We start from the raw sequence: 22,983 nt of genomic DNA on the forward strand, positions 1-22,983 counted from the left end.
TCTATATGGCAACAGTGAACAATCTAAAAAAGAAATTTAAAAAATCCCATTAACAATAGCCACAAATAAAATTAAATACCTATGAATTACCTTAATCAAAGAAATGAAAGATCTCTGCAATGAAAATTATAAAACATTGATAAAATAAATTGAAGAGGACACAAAACAATGAAAAGGTATTCCATGTTCATGGATTGGAAGAATCATTATTGTTAAAATGTCCATATTACCCAAAGCAATCTACAGATTCAATGTAATCTCTATTGAAATACCAATGACATTCTTCACAGAAATAGAAAAAACAATCCTAAAATTTATATGGAATCATAAGAAGCTCAGAATAGCCCACGCTATCCTAAGCAAAAGGAACAAAATTGGAGAAATCATATTACCTGACTTTAAATTATAATATAGAGCTAGAGTAATCAAAACAGAATAGTACTGGCATAAAAACAGACATACAGACCAACAGAATAGAATACAGAACCCAGAAATAAATCTATACATCTACAGTAAACTCATTTTTGACAAAGCTGCCATGATATACACTGGAAAAGAGGCAGTCTCTTCAATGTATGGTCCTGGGAAAACTGGATAACCGGATGCAGAAGAACGAAACTTGACCCCTATCTCGCACCTTATATAAAAATCAAATCAAAATGGATTAAACACTTAAATACAAGACCTGATACTATGAAACTGCTAAAGGACAACACTGGAGAAACTCTCCAGGACATTGGTCTGGGAAAAAGAAAATATTGAGTGACACCCCACAAGCCAGGTAAACAAAGCAAAAAGGGACAAATGGGATCACATCAAGTTAAAAAGCTTCTGCACAGCAAAGGAAACAATCAACAAAGTAACAGAATAAGCCACAAAACAGGAGAAAATATTTGCAAACTACCCATTTGATAAGAGAATAATAGCCAGCATGTATAAGGTGCTCAAACAACTCTATAGAACAAAGTGTCATTAATTAAAACATGACTAAGAGTTGAATAGACATTTCTCAAAAGAAGACATTCAAATGGCAAACAGGTATACAAAAGGAATCTCAACATCACTGATCATCAGAGAAATGCAAATCAAAACTACAATGAGATACCATCTCACCCCAGTTAAAATAACTTTTATCCAAAAGTCATTCAATAACAACTGCTGGCAAGGATGTAGAGAAAAGGGAACCTCGAATACTATTGGTGGGGATGTATGTTAGTACAACCACCATGCAGAAAAATTTGGAGGTGCCTCAAAAAACTAAAAATAGATCTACTATATGATCCAGGAATCCCACTGCTCGGTATACACCCAACAGGTGAAAAATCAGTATATTGAAGAATTATCTGCATTTCCATGTTTGTTGAAACCCAGTTCACAACAGCCAAGATTTGGAGGCAACCTAAGTTTTCATCAACAGATGAATGGATAAAGAAAATGTTGTACTTACACACAATGGAGTACTTGTGTATAAGTCCAAGTCATAAAAATGAATGAGATTCTGTCATTTGCAACAACATGGATAAAACTGGAGGTCATCATGTTAATTGAAATAAGCCAGGCATAGAAAGACAAACATCACATGTTCTCACTTATTTGTGAGATCTAAATATCAAAACAATTGAACTCACGGAGATAGAGACTAGAAGGATGGTAAGTGTAGTGGGGGTACAGGGAGACAGAGAACAGGTGGTGTATTAGTCAGTTCTTGCATTGTTATAAAGAACTACCTGAGACTGGGTAATTTATAAAGAAAAGAGGTTTAATTGGCACACAGCTCCACAGGCTGTACAGGAAATATTGCTAGGGAGGTCTCAGGAAACATACAACACAGCGGAAGTCGAATACGAAGGAGGCACGTCTTACATGGTCAGAACATGGGGAAGAGAGAGCAAATGGGAAGGTCCCACACACTTTTAAACAACCAGGTCTCTTGAGAACTCACTATCACGAGAACAGCAAGGGGGAAATCAGCCCAGCAATCCAATCACCTCCCACCAGGCCCCTCCTCCAACACTGGAGATTACAATTCAACATGAGATGTGGACAGGGGCACAGATCAAAACCATATTAGGTGGGGATGGTTAATGGGTACAAAAAAATAGAATAAGACAATATTTGATAGCACAACAGGGGGACTATAGTCAAGGATAATTGAATTGTACATTTAAACATGACTAAAAGAGTATTATTGGATTGTTTGTAACACAAAGAGTAAATGCTTAGGGGAATGCATACCCAATATTCCATGATGTGATTATTATGTACTGCATGCCGGGACCAAAATATCTCATGTATCCCATGAATATAGACATCTACTATGTACCCACAAAAATTAAAAATTGAAAAAATTGAAAAAATATTCTCAACATATTAGGAATAGAAGAAATATACTCCAACACAATAAAGCTATATATGATAAGCCCATAGTTAACATTATACTCAATGGTAAAATGTTGAAACCTTTTCTCTAAGATATTGAGCAAGAAAGCTATGCCTACTTTTACCACTTTAATTCAACACAATAATAGAAGTCCTTGCTAGAGCAATTAGGCAAAAGAAAGAAAGAAAAGGCATGCAAATCAGAAAAGAACAAGTAAGAAGTAAATTGTCAACGCAATCATATATATCTGTCATATATATCATACATATCTGTCTATCTATAGATAGATAGATATATCTATAGATAGATATATCTATAGATAGATAGATAGATAGATAGATAGATAGATAGATATGGTTAAAGCAAACTAAATATGGCCTGAGAAGGACTCTACACTTCTATATTTGAGTCCTTCTGGATGAACTGTAACCTAGCTTAATAGTCACACAAAATTGAAAACCTAACTTAATAGTATGCACCTCTAACAATGGCTGAGTGTTGGCCAATCCCCACGGCCATACTTCAACCACTCAAAGACTACTGAATGTTCAAACTGCATTCAAAAAAGGCAAACGCCGAGCTGTAACCAATCTCGCTGTTTCTGTACCTCACTTCTGATTCCCGTACCTCACTTTACCTTTTTTGTCTATAAATTTGTTCTGACCATGAGGCACCCCTGGAGTCTCTGTGAATCTACTATGATTCTAGGGGCTGCCTGATTCACAAATTGTTCATTGCTCAATTAAACTCTCTTACATTTAATTCGGCTTAAGTTTTACTTTTATCTATGTATATCTACAGACTCCACCAAAGAACTGATATAACTAATTTAAAAGTAAAATCAATGTGGCAAGAGGATTGTTAAAGACCAGAAATTCTAGAGTAACCTGAGCAACATAACAAGGCCCATCTCTACAAAAAGTCTTTTTAAGTTAGCCAGGTGTGGTGGCACACACCTTTAGTGACAGCTACTATGGAGCCTGAGGTGGGCAGATCCTGTGTGCCCAGGAGTTTGAGGTTACAGTGAACTATAATTGCCCCACTGCATTCCAGCCTAGGTGACAAAGGGAGACCCTGTCTAAAAAAAAACTCACCAAACAAACAAAACAAAACAAAACAAAACAGTTAAGTTACGGGATATAAAAACAACTTACAAAAAACATTAATAGTAGTGTTTCTATAAATTAACACTAAACTATCTGAAAAAAATAATCAAGGGAACAATCCCATTTACAATAGTTTCAAATAAAATAAAATAAAATACTTAGGAATAAATTTAACCAAGGAAATGAAAGACCTGTACACTGCAAACTATAACATTCACAAAAATAAATAAAAAAAGATACAAATGAAATATATCTGTATTAGAAGGATTACTATTATTAAAATGTCCACATTACTCAAAATGATCTATAGATTCATTGTAATCCCTATCAAAATTCTGATGTAGTTTTCCATAGAAACAAAAATTATAAAATTCATATGGAACCAAAACAAAAAACCCAAAATAGCTAAAGCAATCATAGCAAAAGGAGCAAAGCTGGAGGTATCACACTACCTTATTTCAAACTATACTACAAAGCTATAGTAATTAAAACAGCATGGTACTGGCAAAAAAAAAAAAAAAGGCACATCCGCCAATGAAATAGACTAGAGAGCCCAGAATAAACCCATTCATGTACTTTCAATATGATTTTTGCCAAGAATATGCAATGGGAAAAGAATAATCTCTTCCATAAATGCTGTTGGGAAAACTAAATATCCATATTCAGAAGAATGAAATTGGACCCTTATCTCACACCATATACAGAAATCAACTCAAAATTGATTAAAACTTAAATGTAACTAGCAACTGTTAAATTACTAAAAGAAAACATAGGGGGAAAACTACATGACATTATGCTGGGTAATGATTTTTAAAATTTGATTTGATGCAACAAATGCAAAAATAGGACAAATGAGACTACATCAAACTAAAAAGCTTCTGCACCAAAAACAATGAATACTATACAAAGACAACCAACAGACTGGAAGACATATGTGCAAGCAATCCATCCATTAAGGGGTTAATATCCAAAATATTTAAGGAAGTCAAACAACTCAACAGCAAGAAAACAAAAAAAAGCTCAATTTAAAAAATGGAGAAGGAACCTAAAGAGACATTTCTCAAAAGAAGACATGCAAATGGCCAACAAGACATATGAAAAGAAGTTCAACATCACTAATCATTAGGGAAACACAAATTGAAACTACAATGAGATAACATCTAATACCTGTCAGAATGACTAGTATCAAAAAGATGAAAGATAAGTGTTGGCAAGGATGTGGAAAATAGGGAACCCTTGTACACTGTTGGTAGGAATGCAAATTAGTGCAGTCATTATGGAAAACATTATGGAAAACTCAAAAAACTTAAAATAGAATTACCATATGCTACAGCAATCCCACTGTTGGGTATTTACCCAAAAGATTTGAAATAAATTTGCTGAAGGGATGTTAGCACTCCCAAGTTCACTGAAGCACTATTAACAGTAGCCATGTTATGGAATCAACCTAAGTGTCCATCAACAGATAAATTGATTTTTTTAATGATACACACACACACACACACATACACACACACACACACACACACACACACACACAATGGAATGCTACTCAGTATTAATAAAGAAAAAAATTTTGTCAGTTGGGACAACACTGATGGAATTGGAGAACATTATACTAAGTGAATTACGCCAGTCACAGAAAGAAATACCACATATTCTCACTTGTTTGTGGGATCTACAGTTGAACTCATATAAGCAGAGAACAGAACAGTGGTTACAGAGAATGGAGGATGGGGGGAATGGGGCAATGATTATCAAATGGTAATCTGTAAGCATATCTTCGAACGTAGATTCATTATGTGAACAAACTATATCTAGTTTATTTTTGGTTGAATACAATAATTCTTTTAAGAAAACATGAAACAAATCTACTCGATATAAAACGCATTTTAAAACTCTCATAAGTCAGTCAAAACTCATTCCTTTTATTGTATAAAGCTAACTACTTGAGTCACTAGTACTGCTATTTCTCAGCCATCTTCCCTATTCATGTCTACATTGTGTGGTTAGGCAGCTGCTATATAGTGTCACATAATAAAATAAAGGACTTCCCATATTATTTTTAAAAAATCTGTTAGGCAGGAAGAATATGTTATTTTTAAGTTCTATTGAAGAGCATGGTGAATATAGTTAATAATAGAGTTTTATACATTTCAAAGTTGCTGAGAGAATAAATTTGAAATGTGCTTACCATAAAAAAAGTTTAGTTCAAATACTAGCTAGCTAGATAAATACGTTAACTCACTTGATTTAATTATTCTGAAACTGACCCAATTGTCCCATAGAACTGTTGTTGACAGTTTCTTTTGAGTAACCATAGAAATTGACCCTCCCCATCTTCAAACTCGAAAAACTTACATTTGTCTTACTTGAGTTCTTTTCTCTGGAAACCAACCATCAGGTCCTGCAGACGGTATCAAGGAACTGAAACATACTGGCTCACCACATCTGGACAATGAGAGGCCAGACCCTTCACACATCATGATTGCGTGATCTGCTTCCTGTTGACCAATTCCTCTTCCTTATCCCTCCCTAATTACTGTTTTCCCATATATAGATTTTTTTTCCCTGCTAATATATTAGGTTGGTGCAAAAGTAATTGTGGTTTTTGCCATTAAAAGTAACAGCAAAAACTGCATATAAACCCCTAATTTTTGTTGGTTGAAGGGATGGATTTGAGACTGATCTCCCATGTCCTCAGCTGAAGCACCCGGAGAAAGCCTTCTTCCTTGCCAACACTCATCTCAGTGACTGGCTTTCTGTGTGGCTTGTAGCCAGACCTAGACCAAACCCCTGGTATTTCAGTAACAGATTTTGGTTCCGTGATCATAAATGTGTTGGTTGTTGCAGCAGGTGGATTGTGCTTTGGTGGTTGATTGTGTATGTATCAACATAGTAATGGGAAATCAGAATTTGATAAGCTGATATTCTTTTATAATACTGTTTGACCCCAGTATTCTTTAGAATCTGGAGAAGTTTGGGCTCTCTATGGACCTCATTTTGCTGTTAAATGGGAAAGTGGGATGGAGTTATGTGATGATCTTCTGTAGTGCTGTTTGGCCCCAGTGATCTCTGGAGCCTAACTGGAAACTGCTTTACCTAAAACTGTGGTTCACAGCGTTCACTGGATTACCTATCAGAACAAATTTTAAGCATGTAAACCTGTTCGTAAATTCGTGGGTTTGTATTGCTATCTCATTGCTAGAGTTCCAAAGTAAAAGATGAAAATAGCAATGTCTTCAGAATTGTCAGCATACATTTTTGTCTGGGTTTTATATTTGTCTCTGCTAGATATTTTGAGGTGTCAGGATTTAGCACAGGTTATAAAATCATAACTCAGCCAAAACAAAATGATCTTTGTTTATGTGACATTGTTTGAGAAATGACTAATTTAGGCTTGTTGATTTAATGAAAACAGCCGAATCTTCTGAGTTATTGGCAAAAATACCCATGTATTTAACCTTAAGGTTCTTACATAGGTGAACACCTGATATTCACAGACTATTTTAAAAAATGGCGAACAAGGAAGTAACTGGAAATGATAACTAGTTTTGTATAATATCTCAGTTCTCAGAATTAATCTAGATAAACTCTTTAAAAAATGAAAGGCTTGAGTAAATGTAAATAGAATAAATCCTTGTAGGTGAACTTTTTGTGTAATTTAAAACCTTAAAATTCTTTTCATGTTCATTGGATGTCTGGGTCATTTCTAGTCAAATAAAAATTATGAGGAAACATTTCTATAAATTATAGAATGGTTCTCATATATAAAATGCTAACATTTGATAGGCAGTTCAGGATTTCTTGCTTCTTAGGTTTTCACAAAATTTAATATTATTAAGAATAAGAACTGCAGTGAATAATTTTGTATATAAAATACGCCAAAGAAGATGTGTACTTATTGAATAAAAGAATAACTTTTGTCTAATTCAGATTTGATCTCAAAGTTGTTTCAAATTATGGCCTATGCTAAATTTTTGTCCTAAAGTAAAATGACTGGTTACTTAAAAAACAGAAAATGTATGAAAAAACAGAAAGTCCAAGCATGTCTGTGTAAGGCATATGTAATTTTTTTTGTTTGTTTCTCTGTACGTCTATCTTCATGCACATGCAGAGGAACTAGAAAGTTGAAAAAGTTTAGATAATAATTGTTTTAAAATGAGATAGAAAATTGGAGAAGTTGGTTAAATTAACATTGGTCATAGTTAAAGCTCTTAGCGTTGATGAAAGTAAATAAGAAATATTGTAATGAAACACATTGGCAGTTTGACAATTCCTTTTTAATAGAGTTAAGCCTAAAGACAGATTTAGCATGAATACACATTTCACATAAATGTTCGCATTCCTTTATTTCACACTGTACTTGCTCCTCTGCATAGATAGTATTAGCACTAACATGCTTACTAGTCACATGCCTGAAGTAATTTCTAAATTGCACAAAATGCATAGTGGTGTTGGTGGACTTAAAGATACTAATTTATATATCAGGAACAAAAAACAATGGAAGTAAAAGAATAAGAAATAGTTACATTAAACTAAAAGTGCAGCTCATCCTTCATGGTGGGCCACAAGAAGCACCCATTGCAATGAAAAATGTGCTGATATTAACACTGTTATCACTGGTTATCATTGTTCTGGAAGGTGGAAATACAATAAAACAGAAATAAGAATAAAAACAATTGAAAATGAAGATTAAAAATCATCATTATAAGCAATATGATTGTAAGACTAAAATAATCAGGATTAACTAAACTGTTGAAAATAATGAAACATCAGACTGACTAGATATAATTTTTGATAGATGCATACTTAAAGGTAGTTATATACAAATTGACCATGAGCCTTCCCACATACCGGGGAAAGCCAGCTAGAAAAATAATGGAGCAATGATTCCACTTCTAAGAGCATCACACTTTCAAAAAGTGGAGTAAGTTTAGCAAGAAATGTTAAGTTAAAAATGGAAAGTTTAGCAGTCAGTGGAGTAAATGACAAAACTTTACTAAAAGCCATAAACAAAGACATGAATGAGGACATGCCATGTTCACGCAAGAAACATTGAATATAGTATATCTTTTGCTCTTGCCAAAGTAGTGCTACATGTGCATAATTTCAACAAACAACACAAGCTATACTTTTAGGAATTTGATAAAATAAATGATTCTAAAGTTAATGTGGAAGAATAAACTGGTAACTATTAGGACAAATAGCTAAGCATGTAAGAACAAAAAATTGGACATGGCATGGTGGCTCATGCCTATAATCCCAGCATTTTGGGAGTCCAAGGCTGGAGGACTGCTTGAAGCTAGAAGTTTGAGACCAGTCTGGGCAACATAATAAAACCCCATCTTCACACACACACACAAAAAAAATAGCTGGTTGTGGGGGCCTGCACCTTCAGTCACAGCTACTCAGGAGGCTGAGGCAGGAGGATCATTAGAGCCTGGGAGTTGGAAGTAACAATGAACCATGATTGTGCCACTGTACTCCAGTCTGAGCAACAGAGCAAGACCCTGTCTCAAAAGAAACAAACAGGCTGGGTGCAGTGGCTCATGCCTGTAATCCCAGCACTTTGGGAGGCTGAGGCGGGCAGATCACGGGGTCAGGAGTTCGAGAGCAGCCTGGTCAACATAGTGAAACCCCATCTCTACTAAAAATACAAAAATTAGTCAGACATGGTAGTGCACACCTGTAGTCCCAGCTACTCGGGAGGCTGAGGCAGGAGAATTGCTTGAACCTGGGAGGTGGAGGTTGTGGTGAGCTGAGATCACGCCACTGTACTCCAGCCTGGGCAACAGAGCGAGACTCCATCTCAAAAGAAAGAAAGAAGGAAAGAAAGAAAAAGAAAGAAGGAAGGAAGGAAGGAAACAAAAATGTGGATAGCTACATCACATCCTACACCAAGATAAATTCCAAGGGATTGAACACCTAAATGGAAAATATGAAAATATAAGTACTATGGAAAGGCTAAATGGAATTCAAAGTTAACTCTCATGCCATACTTTTTTTTTTCCATGAAGCACTACTCTAGAATTTGGGGATGGAATAATGAACAAGACAGAAACCATTCTTTTCTCAAAGAGTTTATATTCTCATAGTGGCTTCCCCGTCATCATGGATGGGAATAGTGAGTCAATAAGTAAGAAATGCAATAAACTGACAAGATAATGTCAGCTCTGGATAAGTGCTATGATAACAACCCAGAAAGGTAATGTAATAGAAAGTGAATGAATGATCAGAGAAGGGCTCTCCCTATCAGTGTGACAGCTGAGCAATCCTTAGTTACCTAATTACCTTCTAATGATGCTCAACACATAACCATCTAGACACAGTGCAGCCATATACAGCAAGGGCATGTGCAAAGGCCCTAGGACAGGGGCATGCCTGATGTTTCTGAAGAGCAGAAGGAAAGTGTGTGTACTGGAAGCATGATGAGGGAGGAGGAAAGTAGCAGAAAGGGCAAGGTCAGGACTGCAGGAGCCAAGTCCTCCAGTAGTGACAGGGTGCCAAGGTGAAGCTCATTTTGGAAATGGTCAGGATGCCAAGCTGCTCCCCATTTTGATAGGGGAGGCAAAGAATGAGCCAACAGATAGCTCAGGTGGGCTCTTTGTAACGCAAAGATGAAGTTTCTGTGTTTCCAACTAAAGTTTGAAGTAACCTCATTAAATCCAAGTGAGGGGAGAGTTTGCAGAGAAGGTGAGAAGAGTCCTTATAAGGAGGGGAAGGATAAAACATGCTGGGGGTGGGGAGCAGAGAAGTGTATAAGCCAGAATTTAAAGTGAGTCAGGCAATCTTCACCAGCTTTGAGAGATGAAGAAAATGGATAGATTACTTGCAGTAGCCTGAGTGATAATAAATTCCAAAGCAGGCATCACAATCCTAAAGCTAATATATACTTTATTGCTGGTGGGAGTGTAAATTGGCATAATCCCATCTGGTAAGAAATTTATCAATATGCTTTTTAGTTGCATAATTTGGGAGATGGTGACAAAACAAGGGTTTGGGAGTTAGGGACGGCTGCATAAAAATCACACGAGACCTAATACCTCTGTGAGTTGATATCTTTTCTGAGGAGAAAAGTATTTTAACAGAACCACCATATAAAACAGTTTCAGAATAAGATGCTAGTCAAACGAATTCGATGATTTAATTTGAATCTTCTGATATAAGTTCTGGCTTCATTTTAATATTGCTTTCAATCTTTAAGTATAGAAATGGCAATTTTGCCAACTTAAAGCAATTTTTAGCCACAAGTGGGAACTTTATAATGTACTGTCCAACAGGTTTTGCAATACACTTCTCAGGCAAAATATGGATGTTGCTTTGATGACTCAGCCTCAGATTCCCAGGTGCTTTTTGGAGCAAAGTGAATACTATTTTGTGAACCCCCCCCTCGCCAACTCATAGCATCAGAGAAATGATAAGAAGATACAACATGTATGGCATGAAGAAAAGACCACATTACAAAGTATGCTTAATGATGCAAGGTGAGACATTCAATGACATCCGAGGGCCAAGAGACTGAAAAAGAAAGTTAGGAAAAGGGATGATAACTCTGCCTTTTTACAAATAGAAGAAAACTTCAGTGCAGCATCAAAGAAAACAGAAAAGCTGTGACTGGGACAGGACAAAGGACCATTAGTCTCTTAGTCAGCCAAGATCTTCCTAGTTCCTTAAATGGTTTGACTGTCCAAAGGAAATTGTCAAGGATTTATGTTTTATTTTAGGATGGCATGCATACCCTGTCCAGAGCATTCTCTCCCATCACATGCTGACAAGCTGGTGCAGGGATCTCAGTTCACCGTCATATTCAGCTGAGCTCAAGCTGGTAAGAAGAGCAAGCTAGTGTTACCCCAAGTTTCAAGCTCAAGGGGCTACAAGAGTCATGGGAAAAATGGCTCATGATTTAAAACAACCTTTTATCACTACAAGAATGTGATCACTCTCAAGCATCTGCGTGAGTGGTCAGTGACTACTTTTGCACAGTCATCAGAGTTAAGGATTAATGATTTCCCAGAATAAGGCTGAGTTGACGTACAAACCTACGTCACGGACAGCTCATCTACAGCCAAAGGTCTTCATCTAGCCTAGATAAAGCAAAAGCCCACTGATGCTGTTCCCATAATGGCTGGGCATGAATAACAAAAGAAGCGTAGAGGAGCTAAGTGGCGACTGACCTACCAGTGTAGGCTACTGCTGGATAGACAAGGTGAGAGCCAATCTCAGTGTCCAGGGGTGAGAGAAATTCAGTCTGAAGGTCTCAGTGATACAGCCAGTCCAACCAGTATTTCAAGCACATAATCAGTAGGAAAGCAATCTCTGCTGGGCAGGACCTTCCTCAGCAGTACTTTACAAGCAGGAACAGCAGGAACAACCCCAGCTCTCTGCAAACCTTCCACCATGGGGAATTTAACTTCAGTGTTCTCAGCTGTGCCAGACCTCCTCCAGGCCAGGGCCATAGTACCTATTTACCAAAAAGATGCAATGCATTGTTGGGTTACACACACTGGCCCACTCCGGGCCTGCCATGTCACCATCCAGCCAGTGCAACAGTAAAAAGACACGGGAGGGAAGGTGGGCCTTGGGGCCAAGGAGAGGATGGAGGGTGGCTGAGCCATGTGAGCACTCACACCTTGTTTTTATCAAAAGTCACGTGTAAAATATACAAATGGTACTGAAGTTTATATAGGATAGCAAAGAATATGCGTATATGAGTTTAATGATCAGGGTTGAGACTTATTAATTTGCTCTTTTGTCCAGTAGTTCAAATCAATCTCTAGAGCTACATGTTTTTTAAATATCAAGGCAGAAATTTCTAGAATAGCCAATTTCTAATGAGCAGATGATGTAAGTTTAGCTGCTAAACACATGAAGAATGTGGTGGTCAGTCTGCACTTTGGAGGTTTTCTTTATGACAGCTTATCCAGGTCCATATAACTCTGAAGAAGTGTTTCAAAAATCTGATGCTCTAAATAAAGAGCTAAGGAGTATACCTATACTACACTTGAAAAAAAAAAAAACCAGCTACTTACTTAAAAATCCATTTATTGATTTAAGAGGCTGTTTGAGAGGCATGATGGATATAAATTTGACTAATGCTTTTTTAGGTTATTATATAAAGTTTACTACTAAAGGCTTATTATTACATTATTATTTAACATTTACATATGAAGTTACAGACCAAGCAATTTTTATTTTCTTGGTTGATCTTACTCTTACCTAAAATCCAACATTTTCAAACAGTTGTGGAATTTATTACAGAGCTTTTTTATGTATTACATAATTCTATTTTAACAGAGTTAAAGCTCTTTGCTTTTAACAAAGACATACAGAGACAGACTGACATACTCTACTTCTGTTAAAAAAAAAAACAAAAAGTGTATGTGTCGAGGAATTTATCCATCGACACATACACTCTCCCAAGACTAAACCAGGAAGAAGTTGAATCTCTGAATAGACCAATAACAGGAGCTGAAATTGTGGCAATAATCAATAGCTTACCAACCAAAAAGAGTCCAGCACCAGATGGATTCACAGCCGAATTCTACCAGAGGTACAAGGAGGAACTGGTACCATTCCTTCTGAAACTATTCCAATCAATAGAAAAAGAGGGAATCCTCCCTAACTCATTTTATGAGACCAGCATCATCCTGATACCAGGATCCGAATCCAGCAGCCCATCATCCGAATCCAGCAGCCCATCAAAAAGCTTATCCAACATGATAAAGTGGGGTTCATCCCTGGGATGCAAGGCTGGTTCAATATATGCAAATCAATAAATGTAATCCAGCATATAAACAGAACCAAAGAAAAAAACCACATGATTATCTCAATAGATGCAGAAAAGCCCTTTGACAAAATTCAACAATGCTTCATGCTAAAAACTCTCAATAAATTAGGTATTGATGGGACGTATCTCAAAATAATAAGAGCTATCTATCACAAGCCCACAGCCAATATCATACTGAATGGGCAAAAACTGGAAGCATTCCCTTTGAAAACTGGCACAAGACAGGGATGCCCTCTCTCACCACTCCTATTCAACATAGTGTTGGAAGTTCTGGCCAGGGCAATTAGGCAGGAGAAGGAAATAAAGGGTATTCAATTAGGAAAAGAGGAAGTCAAATTGTCCCTGTTTGCAGACGACATGATTATATATCTAGAAAACCCCACTGTCTCAGCCCAAAATCTCCTTAAGCTGATAAGCAACTTCAGCAAAGTCTCAGGATACAAAATCAATGTACAAAAATCACAAGCATTCTTATACACCAATAACAGACAAACAGAGAGCCAAATCATGAGTGAACTCCCATTCACAATTGCTTCAAAGAGAATAAAACACCTAGGAATCCAACTTACAAGGGATGTGAAGGACCTCTTCAAGGAGAACTACAAACCACTGCTCAATGAAATAAAAGAGGATACAAAGAAATGGAAGAACATTCCATGCTCATGGGCAGGAAGAATCAGTATCATGAAAATGGCCATACTGCCCAAGGTAATTTATAGATTCAATGCCATCCCCATCAAGCTACCAATGACTTTCTTCACAGAATTGGAAAAAACTACTTTAAAGTTCATACGGAACCAAAAAAGAGCCCACATCGCCAAGTCAATCCTAAGCCAAAAGAACAAAGCTGGAGGCATCACGCTACCTGACTTCAAACTATACTACAAGGCTACAGTAACCAAAACAGCATGGTACTGGTACCAAAACAGAGATATAGATCAATGGAACAGAACAGAGCCCTCAGAAATAACGCCACATATCTACAACTATCTGATCTTTGACAAACCTGAGAAAAACAAGCAATGGGGAAAGGATTCCCTATTTCATAAATGGTGCTGGGAAAACTGGCTAGCCATATGTAGAAAGCTGAAACTGGATCCCTTCCTTACACCTTATACAAAAATCAATTCAAGATGGATTAAAGACTTAAACGTTAGACCTAAAAACCATAAAAACCCTAGAAGAAAACCTAGGCAATACCATTTAGGACATAGGCATGGGCAAGGACTTCATGTCTAAAACACCAAAAACAATGGCAACAACAGCCAAAATTGACAAATGGGATCTAATTAAACTAAAGAGCTTCTGCATAGCAAAAGAAACTACCATCAGAGTGAACAGGCAACCTACAAAATGGGAGAAAATTTTTGCAACCTACTCATCTGACAAAGGGCTAATATCCAGAATCCACAATGAACTCAAACAAATTTACAAGAAAAAAACAAACAATCCCATCAAAAAGTGGGCGAAGGACATGAACAGACACTTCTCAAAAGAAGACATTTATGCAGCCAAAAAACACATGAAAAAATGCTCACCATCACTGGCCATCAGAGAAATGCAAATCAAAACCACAATGAGATACCATCTCACACCAGTTAGAATGGCAATCATTCAAAAGTCAGGAAACAACAGGTGCTGGAGAGGATGTGGAGAAATAGGAACACTTTTACACTGTTGGTGGGACTGTAAACTAGTTCAACCATTGTGGAAGTCACTGTGGAGATTCCTCAGGGATCTAGAACTAGAAATACCATTTGACCCAGCCATCCCATTACTGGATATATACCCAAAGGACTATAAATCATGCTGCTATAAAGACACATGCACACGTATGTTTATTGTGGCACTATTCACAATAGCAAAGACTTGGAACCAACCCAAATGTCCAACCATGATAGACTGGATTAAGAAAATGTGGCACATATACACCATGGAATACTATGCAGCCATAAAAAATGATGAGTTCATGTCCTTTGTAGGGACATGGATGAAATTGGAAATCATCATTCTCAGTAAACTACTGCAAGAACAAAAAACCAAACACCGCATATTCTTACTCACAGGTGGAAATTGAACAATGAGAACACATGGACACAGGAAGGGGAACTTCACACTCTGGGGACTGTTGTGGGGTGGGGGGAGGGGGGAGGGATAGCATTGGGATATATACCTAATGCTAGATGACGAGTTAGTGGGTGCAGCGCACTAGCATGGCACATGTATACATATGTAACTAACCTGCACATTATGCACATGTACCCTAAAACTTAAAGTATAATAATAATAAAAATAAATAAATAAAAAATAAAGAATGCAAAAATAAAAGTGGAGAAAACTGAAATAGCATGTTTTGTTTAAAAAGCCAAAAATTCCTAGATTAATTTTTGTTGATATTTGCTTTTTTGCTCTTCCCCATCACACACACATGTGCACACACCTACAACACACACATTACCACACAAAACACACACCACACACACATCCACAATGCACACCAACACAACACATACCACACACACAAACCCAACACACACCACACACATCACATACCGCACACACCCAAAACTCAACACACACCCACAGACACAAACTCACATATCAGCTTCTTTCACTTTAGTTTTTTTGGGTGTGGGGGCAGGTAAATGGCTCCTCATTCTACATTCCCAGGACTTCTGAATAGTCTTTTGTATAGCTGATGCACTTATCAGAACCTGAACCTCCGGAGCTTTACAACCACAGGTCTCATTTTCAGGCAAAAACATAAAATGCTGAAAACTTCCCAAAGAAACTCCAGGATAGACTCTTTTTGAAGGAACACGATGGCTTGGTTGACATGTGCCACTTAACACTAAAAACATCTGATTTTGCTAAAATCCCAAATTCTGCTCTCTATACTGCGGTTCTGAGAAAGTCACTCACATGTTCTATTTGAGGCTATGTTAAATCATTCACTCTACCCGTCTTGAGGCATGAAAGTCCCAGGGATGTGGATTTAAATATATACTGTTATGATTTCGCTTATAGCTGTTAAAGTCTTAGTTCAAAGCCTCTGGGCTCACAACACTTTCAGATACATCTTTTCTCTAAGCTATCCACATGTGTCCCACTCAACACTGAGAGCCACTGCTAGAGGGTCTCAAGGGCACTTTTAGGCCAGGAGAGCAAGAAACAGACACACATACACACAAAATACTGTTCTAAATAAAACAACCCAAAAATCAGGCAAAAATCTATGCAAGAGACAGAAGGTTTTTAAGAGCACCATTTAGCAAGGTGATATTCAAAATAATTGACCACCAGCTGGGATGGAGCTCTATGGAAAGGCCTGGCGGTTTCCAGGGCAACCAGGGAAGCCCAGGGCCTCCTCACTGGGACTCAGGAAGGCAGCCTGGTTTCCTGATTTGAGTGATTATATTATGAGAGCTGGAGAGAGATGTTTCTCATCAGGAAATCTCTCACTTAGTCATTCCCATAAATATTCGTGGCACTACCTCAATAAAGCTCCGTAGAGAGTAAACCCTACAATCTGCGCAACAGACATTTTTTTTTCAACTGTGCAGACAGCTTTGAAAAAAACTTCACTGAAGCCACTGCAGTGTCAGGGCGATATTAATTACAGGCCTCTGTGGCTATGATATGGAAAATCCATCCTGAGGGAATCTGTGTTCTTAGACATGGCAATCCAATTATATACAATTGATCCAAAGGTGGCTGTTTTTCAACTGCTTGTGACTATTTACAGTAACAGTAATGCCCCAAATTTTATGGTTATGAGATTTTTTTTTCTGCAAAGCTTTAGTGCTTCATAGATGCTTCCTAATTTATCTGAGGTCATTGCCTCACTTACAATAATCATCTCAAGTGAGATATTCAACACCCATGCACCATGCAACAGCAAAATTGGTCCTGAAGAGGCACACAGACCTGAGCCCATACAGCACTGTCCCATCAGGGTGAAGACGGATCATGCGGTTTTTCACTGTCACTCCATGCACAAATGACTTTTTGTCATTTAAGAAATATGTGTCGGGCACCCATAGCTGGTCAGCCACTCGATTGTCAAGCGTGAGGTTGAGAGGGATCCCAGAATAGGCGAGCCTTTTATCTCTCCAATATTGTTGAAAATACATGGTTAAGGTATAATCCTGGGGGGAAAAGAAAAGAAAGAAAGTTAGTTTGTACCCAGCCACAGGTGTATTTCCTCCACGACCAGCCAAATTCAGGTTGCAATCTAGGCTCTACAGTGAATAACCAGGAGAAACGGATGCCATTTTTATGCAGAATGGGAAGCAATGGCTGCTTTCTTGTGAATGCAAATACCAGTTTTAATAGGTACATGAGTCTGTGTGTGTCACGTATAGATGTCCTCTGTTTTACTTAGGTTAAGAAGCAGACTAGACAAACTGGCATTTAACAGATAACAGCATAGAAATAAACGGGAAAAAGTCATCGTAAAATCAGGTTGCTGGCGGGGAACTAGATTGTTCCCATGGATGTTCTCTTTCCCACCAGGCAGACAGGTGCTTTAACAACCTACAACAGATGAGCTCTATCTACAAACTCTCTCTGCAATTTGAGCCACTTTCCTCTGGTTCTGCCCTCCATGAGGGCTATAAATACAAACCTTCCATAAACATCCTCTGGAGACACAAGGGACTGTGGGAGGTCTCCATGCCCTACCTATTGTATTTCCTTTTTCCTCCAGCTTGCCGTGGCCATTTCTACATTAACTGGACCATAAAATCACCCGGAGATGATGACATATTCACCTGAGGAAAATGGGAACCTAAGGTCCAAGCAGGATATGGGAGGTGGGAGACAGACAGGGCCATGGTGTTGTCCACAGGCTTGCCCACAAAATTACCAAATATCCACGTGATGGTTCTGCTTTCGTTTTGCCAAAGCAGTTAGTTTATCGAGAACAAAGTGGGAAAAAAGACAAATCAGAGGCTAGACATGGCAGAACAAAAGAAATTCTCTTTTTGTTGGGGACAATCATCACTACTCAGTTCTAGAATGACCAAGTCTAAAAATCTAGTGATATTCACAGGACATTTTGCACCCTTCTGTGGAAAGATACAAGCTGAAAACATCAAAGGTTAGGAGGTAAATTATCCAACCACGGAGGGGAAAAAATCGCTGCCATTCTGCAAAAGCAGCTTTCTGAGTTCACACACTTTAAGATCATGTCTGCAAACATCCTCACTTGTGGACAGCGAGAGATGGAGAGCAAATCGGTTGAAGAATCCAGTCTCGACACAGGCCTCCTGACAACCCCTCCAGTATTCTTTTTGCTTCTTGCAGGGCAATTCACGGTGTTGCTAAACTGATGGCTGTTTATTGCTGCTCTCAATAGTGTTGGAATATAGAGGCTTAGGGACTGATAGAGGACATCGATTTGTCTTCAGATGCTTGCCACAAGAAGGGGAAACAAAACCAGCTTGTACTATATCACTGTAAACAAAATACGTTTTTAAGCTTTGAGTCCCATAAAAATTAAGAGTGGAAGGAAAGGCAAGAAAGTCCAAATGGGCTGGACAGTCTTTGGAGAGGCCTTGTCTTCAAGTTAAAGGAGAGGCAGCATTTAAGCAGATGAAAAGAAGCAGGCATTTTTTTTCCCAGACACTTTTGTGGGCACAGCTCTGTGCCTAGTAATAACCTGTGGGGGCCCTCACCACCACCACCAATTAAAGATTCTCGCAGAGCAGGTGACACTAAAGATAACCCTCGGCTAGGTAGACAGCAGGTACAGCACATCGAAAAACACATGGAGTGTTGCTCTTAAGGGTCTGATGGAAAAGCCTGTGGAGTGCAGTTTTGCTGGAATGCTGGGTTTATGGGTAAAAGAGAGCAGAGCGATGAGTCAGGCTAGACCCCAGGGCAGTGACCACAAGGTGGAAACTAGAATGCCACCTTCGCAGCCAATGAAAGCCACTGATAGTTTCCATGGAGCAGAGAGCCATGACCAGGAGTATTAACCGTGCCTTTTATTTCTGTGTTCTGATGCTTTGATCTGCGACCCTGTGGACCTTGGAGGGAGGGCCCCTTCCAGGGCTGGCTAATTCCGAGAGACGGCTAGCAACTCTCCTAGGAGTGTACTTTTCACATGCAAACCAACCAGTCCAGAACCCACACCCCAACCATCTCTTTTGTTTGTTTGTTTGTTTTTACAGTCCAGAGGTCTTTTATTTTTTATACCTATTATGCCATAAATTCATAGAGCATAGATTTCAGCGGCTTAGACTCCAATCACCTCTTTTACTGAGCTTGCACATTCTGGGGTCCCTATCACCCGCTTAAACTGCCCCAGGTCCAGGTAATGGACAACTAAAGACAGCCCCTGTGCCCCAAGGGCCTGAAATTATTTAAACCAGCCAATTCTGAGCCTGCACACCCCGTGTCACCCATTCCTTCCCAGCAACCACAATAAAGGCATTTCCCCTCCCTCTGCTGCCTGACCCACCCTGGCACTCCCTGAGCAGCCCCCATGGCATGGTGTGGCTCCCTGCTGCTCCAGAACTGGAAGGAACACACTCTCCTCTCAATGGCAGTTGTGTCCTGATCTGTCGGCCTTGCCTGACCTAAATAATAATAAAACCTCCAGTTTAAAACACAAAGCCGCCTGTGAGGAAAACTAGCGTAGCAATGGTGAGTTCAAGGGGTAGAAGGGATGGTGTGCAGAGGCCTCCGAGGAGTGGACAGTGCTGAGTGGTGGGTAAAGCAAAGGCCTGAAAGGTTCTCGGACACTGGGCTGATGCAGAACATCAGGATGAGAATGCACCTTCACAGGGCATATTCCGCCCCTTCATCACCATTACCTTTCGCTGGTGTGGGCGGTGCGCTGGAACTGAGGCGTGCAAAGTTGTGGTTTCACAACAAAAGGAGGATGTGTTAGTGGTGGCGACCACAGAGTTTCTCTACTATCACCCTCCATGTTACACTCGTATTGAAATAGAAGTTTCACTTGTTTCTTTCTTTACTCCTAACCCCGCATGCTTACGCCTGAGTCGCGATGTCTAGCGCCCTTCTCAGAGTCCCTCCGGATGGGCTCGCACATGGCTTGCCACAAGAAGGGAGAGAACTTGTCAGTCAGCCCTAGGAGCCCGGCTGTCACTCACAGCCTGACAGCTCGGGCTCCGCGTCTTATTTTGGACTGTGTCGCTCTCCGCACCACCAGCAGCGCCTCTCAGTTTGGGTCTTGGGTGTCTGCTGAGGTGACTTGAGTAGACTAGTGGGTAAGAGCTTAGGTAACAGCAAGAGGGAAAAAACAGTATGAAAATCCAAACCCGCTGCATGTGATCAGCCATGTATGGCAAGGACTATCACATCAGTGGGGGCACAAATCAGTGTCCTCCTTTTTTTCTGGGATACTTACTAGCTGGCAACAAAGGGAAGGGGGTGGTGGAAAGGTCCAAGCCTCCCTCCACTCTCGTGCAGCCGGGAGTAGCAAATGCAGGGTTTTCCTGTTACGGGAGCCATGGTGCCGCTCCTTGTGACGTGCAGTGGTGAGCACTGAGCCAGGAACAGCGGGCAGCCGCTTGTGTGAGTGATCCTTCAGCAAACTCCACGCCCTGTGCTACCTAGAACCTCATTTAACTAGGAGGCAGGTATTATAATTATTATCCTATATCGATGAAGTAACAAAAATTGAAGAGCTGAAGTAACTCGCTCCTCATCCACTCCCTCCACTCCCTCAAACACTAGTAACCCGGGATAGTGGAACTTGAAGTTCGGGCCACCTCCTTTCAGGGCCTGGCTCTCAATGTGGAAGCTCCAAGGGATGGGAGCTAAACAGTTCCTCACAATAAAGTGGAGTGAGCTTGGCAGGGTGGGGCTTTGAAAGGATGTCTCTGAGCATGGAGAGTCAGGTCATGCAGGGGGGTTCTTCAGGGCAGTAATCAGAACCCCGGCACCACCAACTCCTCCTTCCACACCCAACCCATCGCCAAACATTTAGCACAGCTGCTATAGAAAGAAGCTTTGTAAAAGTATCCTTTTCTTCAATGCATCCCATACATCCCAGGGAAGTCACCAATTTTTACCTTTGCAATGATGTGGCATGAACCAAAGAGAAGAGCACAGTCACAAAGAGATGGAATTTGCATGGGATGGAGAGTCTGTCAGAGTTTTGAATTCCAAGCCTGTCTGCAGAAACAGAAGATACTTTGAGACTTTAAAAGCTCCAAGGATTAAAGGAATAGCAGAGGGGACACTGGATTCCTCACAGAACATGAAATGGAAATTAAGCCTTTGTTCTTTAACCTTAATGCTCGAGGTGGACTCAGGTGACGTCTGGGTACAAAAATAAGAAATGACTGGGAAGGGTGGAGCTTCTCAAAGAACAGCCAAGCTGGCCACTCTGCGGCAGGGTGGATCCCTGTTGCTATGGTTCCTGCTGGCTGACAAGGGGCTGGGGAGGTAGCAGTAGACACCAAATGAGACAGACTGTTGATATCGTTTACAGAAGCAGCCCGCGTCCTCCACCAATTGAGTTGCTAACGTTCCCTCTTTTGCCAGACCCCCAGGCTGCACAAGAAACTATCTGTATCATTAGATACACGCCTGCCTTACTTTACTGTGCTTCACAGATACTGCATTTTTAACAATTTGAAGGTTTGTGGCAACCCAGCGTTGAGCATGTAAGTTGAACAACACTGTTTTTCCAACAGCATATGCTCACTTCATGTCTCTGGGTCATATTTTGGTAATTTTCACAAGATTTCAATCTTAGTATTTCATTACTTTTATATTGGTTATGGTGACCTATAATCAGTGATATTTGATATTACTATTATTATCACTCTGGGGCACCAGGAATAGCACCCATATAAGATGGCAAACTTATCGTACAAATGTTGTGTGTCCTCTGACTGATCTACCAACTGACCCTTAACCCTGTATCTCTCCCTCTCCTTGGGCCTCCCTATTCCCTGAGACACAACAATATCAACATTAGGCCAGTTAGTAGCCCTCCAATGGCCTCTAAGGGTTTAAGTGAAAGGAAGAGTCGCCCATCTCTCATGGTAAATGAAAAACCAGAAATGATTAAGCTTAGTGAGGGAGGCAGGTCAAATGATTGATGTGCAAAAGATTTTTATAGGCCCAAAGTTAGGCCTTTTCTACCAGTTAGCCCAATTGTGAATGCAAAGAAAAAGTTTTAGTAGGAAATTAAAAGTGCTACTCTGGGGAATGATAAGAAAGTCCAACAGCCTTACTGCTGATATTGATAGAATATCAAACCAGCCATAACGTTCCCTTAAGTCAAAGTTTAATCTGGAGTAAAATCCTGACTCTCTTCAATTCTGTGAAGGCTGAAAGAGTTAGGGCAGCTGCAGAAGAAAAGTTAGAAGATAGGAGAGATTGGTTCATGAGGTTTAAGCAACGAAGCCATTTCCATAACATAAAAGTGCAAGGTGAAGCAGCAAGTGCTGATGGAGAAGCTGCAGCAAGTTATCCAGAAGATCCCGCTAAAATCACTGATGAAGGTGGTTACACTAAACAACAGGTTTTCAGAGTAGACTTTGGAAGAAGTCTTTTCTAATGGAAGAAGAGGCCATGTCGGACTTTCATAGCAAAAGAGAAGAAGTCATTGTCTGGCTTCGGAGCTTCAAATGACAGGCTGACTCTCTTGCTAGGGGCTAATTGCAGCTGCTGACTTTAAGTTGAAGCCAATGCTCACCCACCATTTTGAAAATCCCAGGGCC

The 22,983-nt window shown here is 39.5% G+C and overlaps 1 protein-coding gene across 7 annotated transcripts in view, besides 1 other annotated feature; it reads right to left on the bottom strand.

The window, feature by feature from the left end:
• The window catches only part of GABRB3 (gamma-aminobutyric acid type A receptor subunit beta3), a 230,212-nt gene that overhangs the window by 60,559 nt on the left and 146,670 nt on the right, over positions 1-22,983 (bottom strand). For 5 of the 7 annotated variants that reach the window (NM_021912.5, NM_000814.6, NM_001278631.2 and 2 more), the window contains one exon: positions 17,204-17,424. In NM_021912.5, the coding sequence (NP_068712.1) occupies positions 17,204-17,424 (221 nt within the window). Of the gene's footprint in view, positions 1-11,186; positions 11,312-11,663; positions 11,951-17,203; positions 17,425-20,097; positions 20,522-20,654; positions 20,876-21,321; positions 21,425-22,983 lie in introns of those variants that run through there. The other 2 variants (NR_103801.2, XM_011521428.4) reach the window with 2 other exon arrangements.
• Positions 10,913-12,112: an enhancer, noted in NCBI's record as "BRD4-independent group 4 enhancer chr15:26860170-26861369 (GRCh37/hg19 assembly coordinates)". NCBI's record gives its function as "activates an origin of replication core promoter dependent on BRD2, P300/CBP, MED14 and CDK7 cofactors, and independent of BRD4, by STARR-seq in HCT116 cells {active_cell/tissue: HCT116}" and the evidence as "EXISTENCE:reporter gene assay evidence [ECO:0000049][PMID:35650434]".

Source organism: Homo sapiens, chromosome 15 (genome assembly GCF_000001405.40).
Source record: "Homo sapiens chromosome 15, GRCh38.p14 Primary Assembly".
Lineage (NCBI taxonomy): Eukaryota > Metazoa > Chordata > Mammalia > Primates > Hominidae > Homo > Homo sapiens.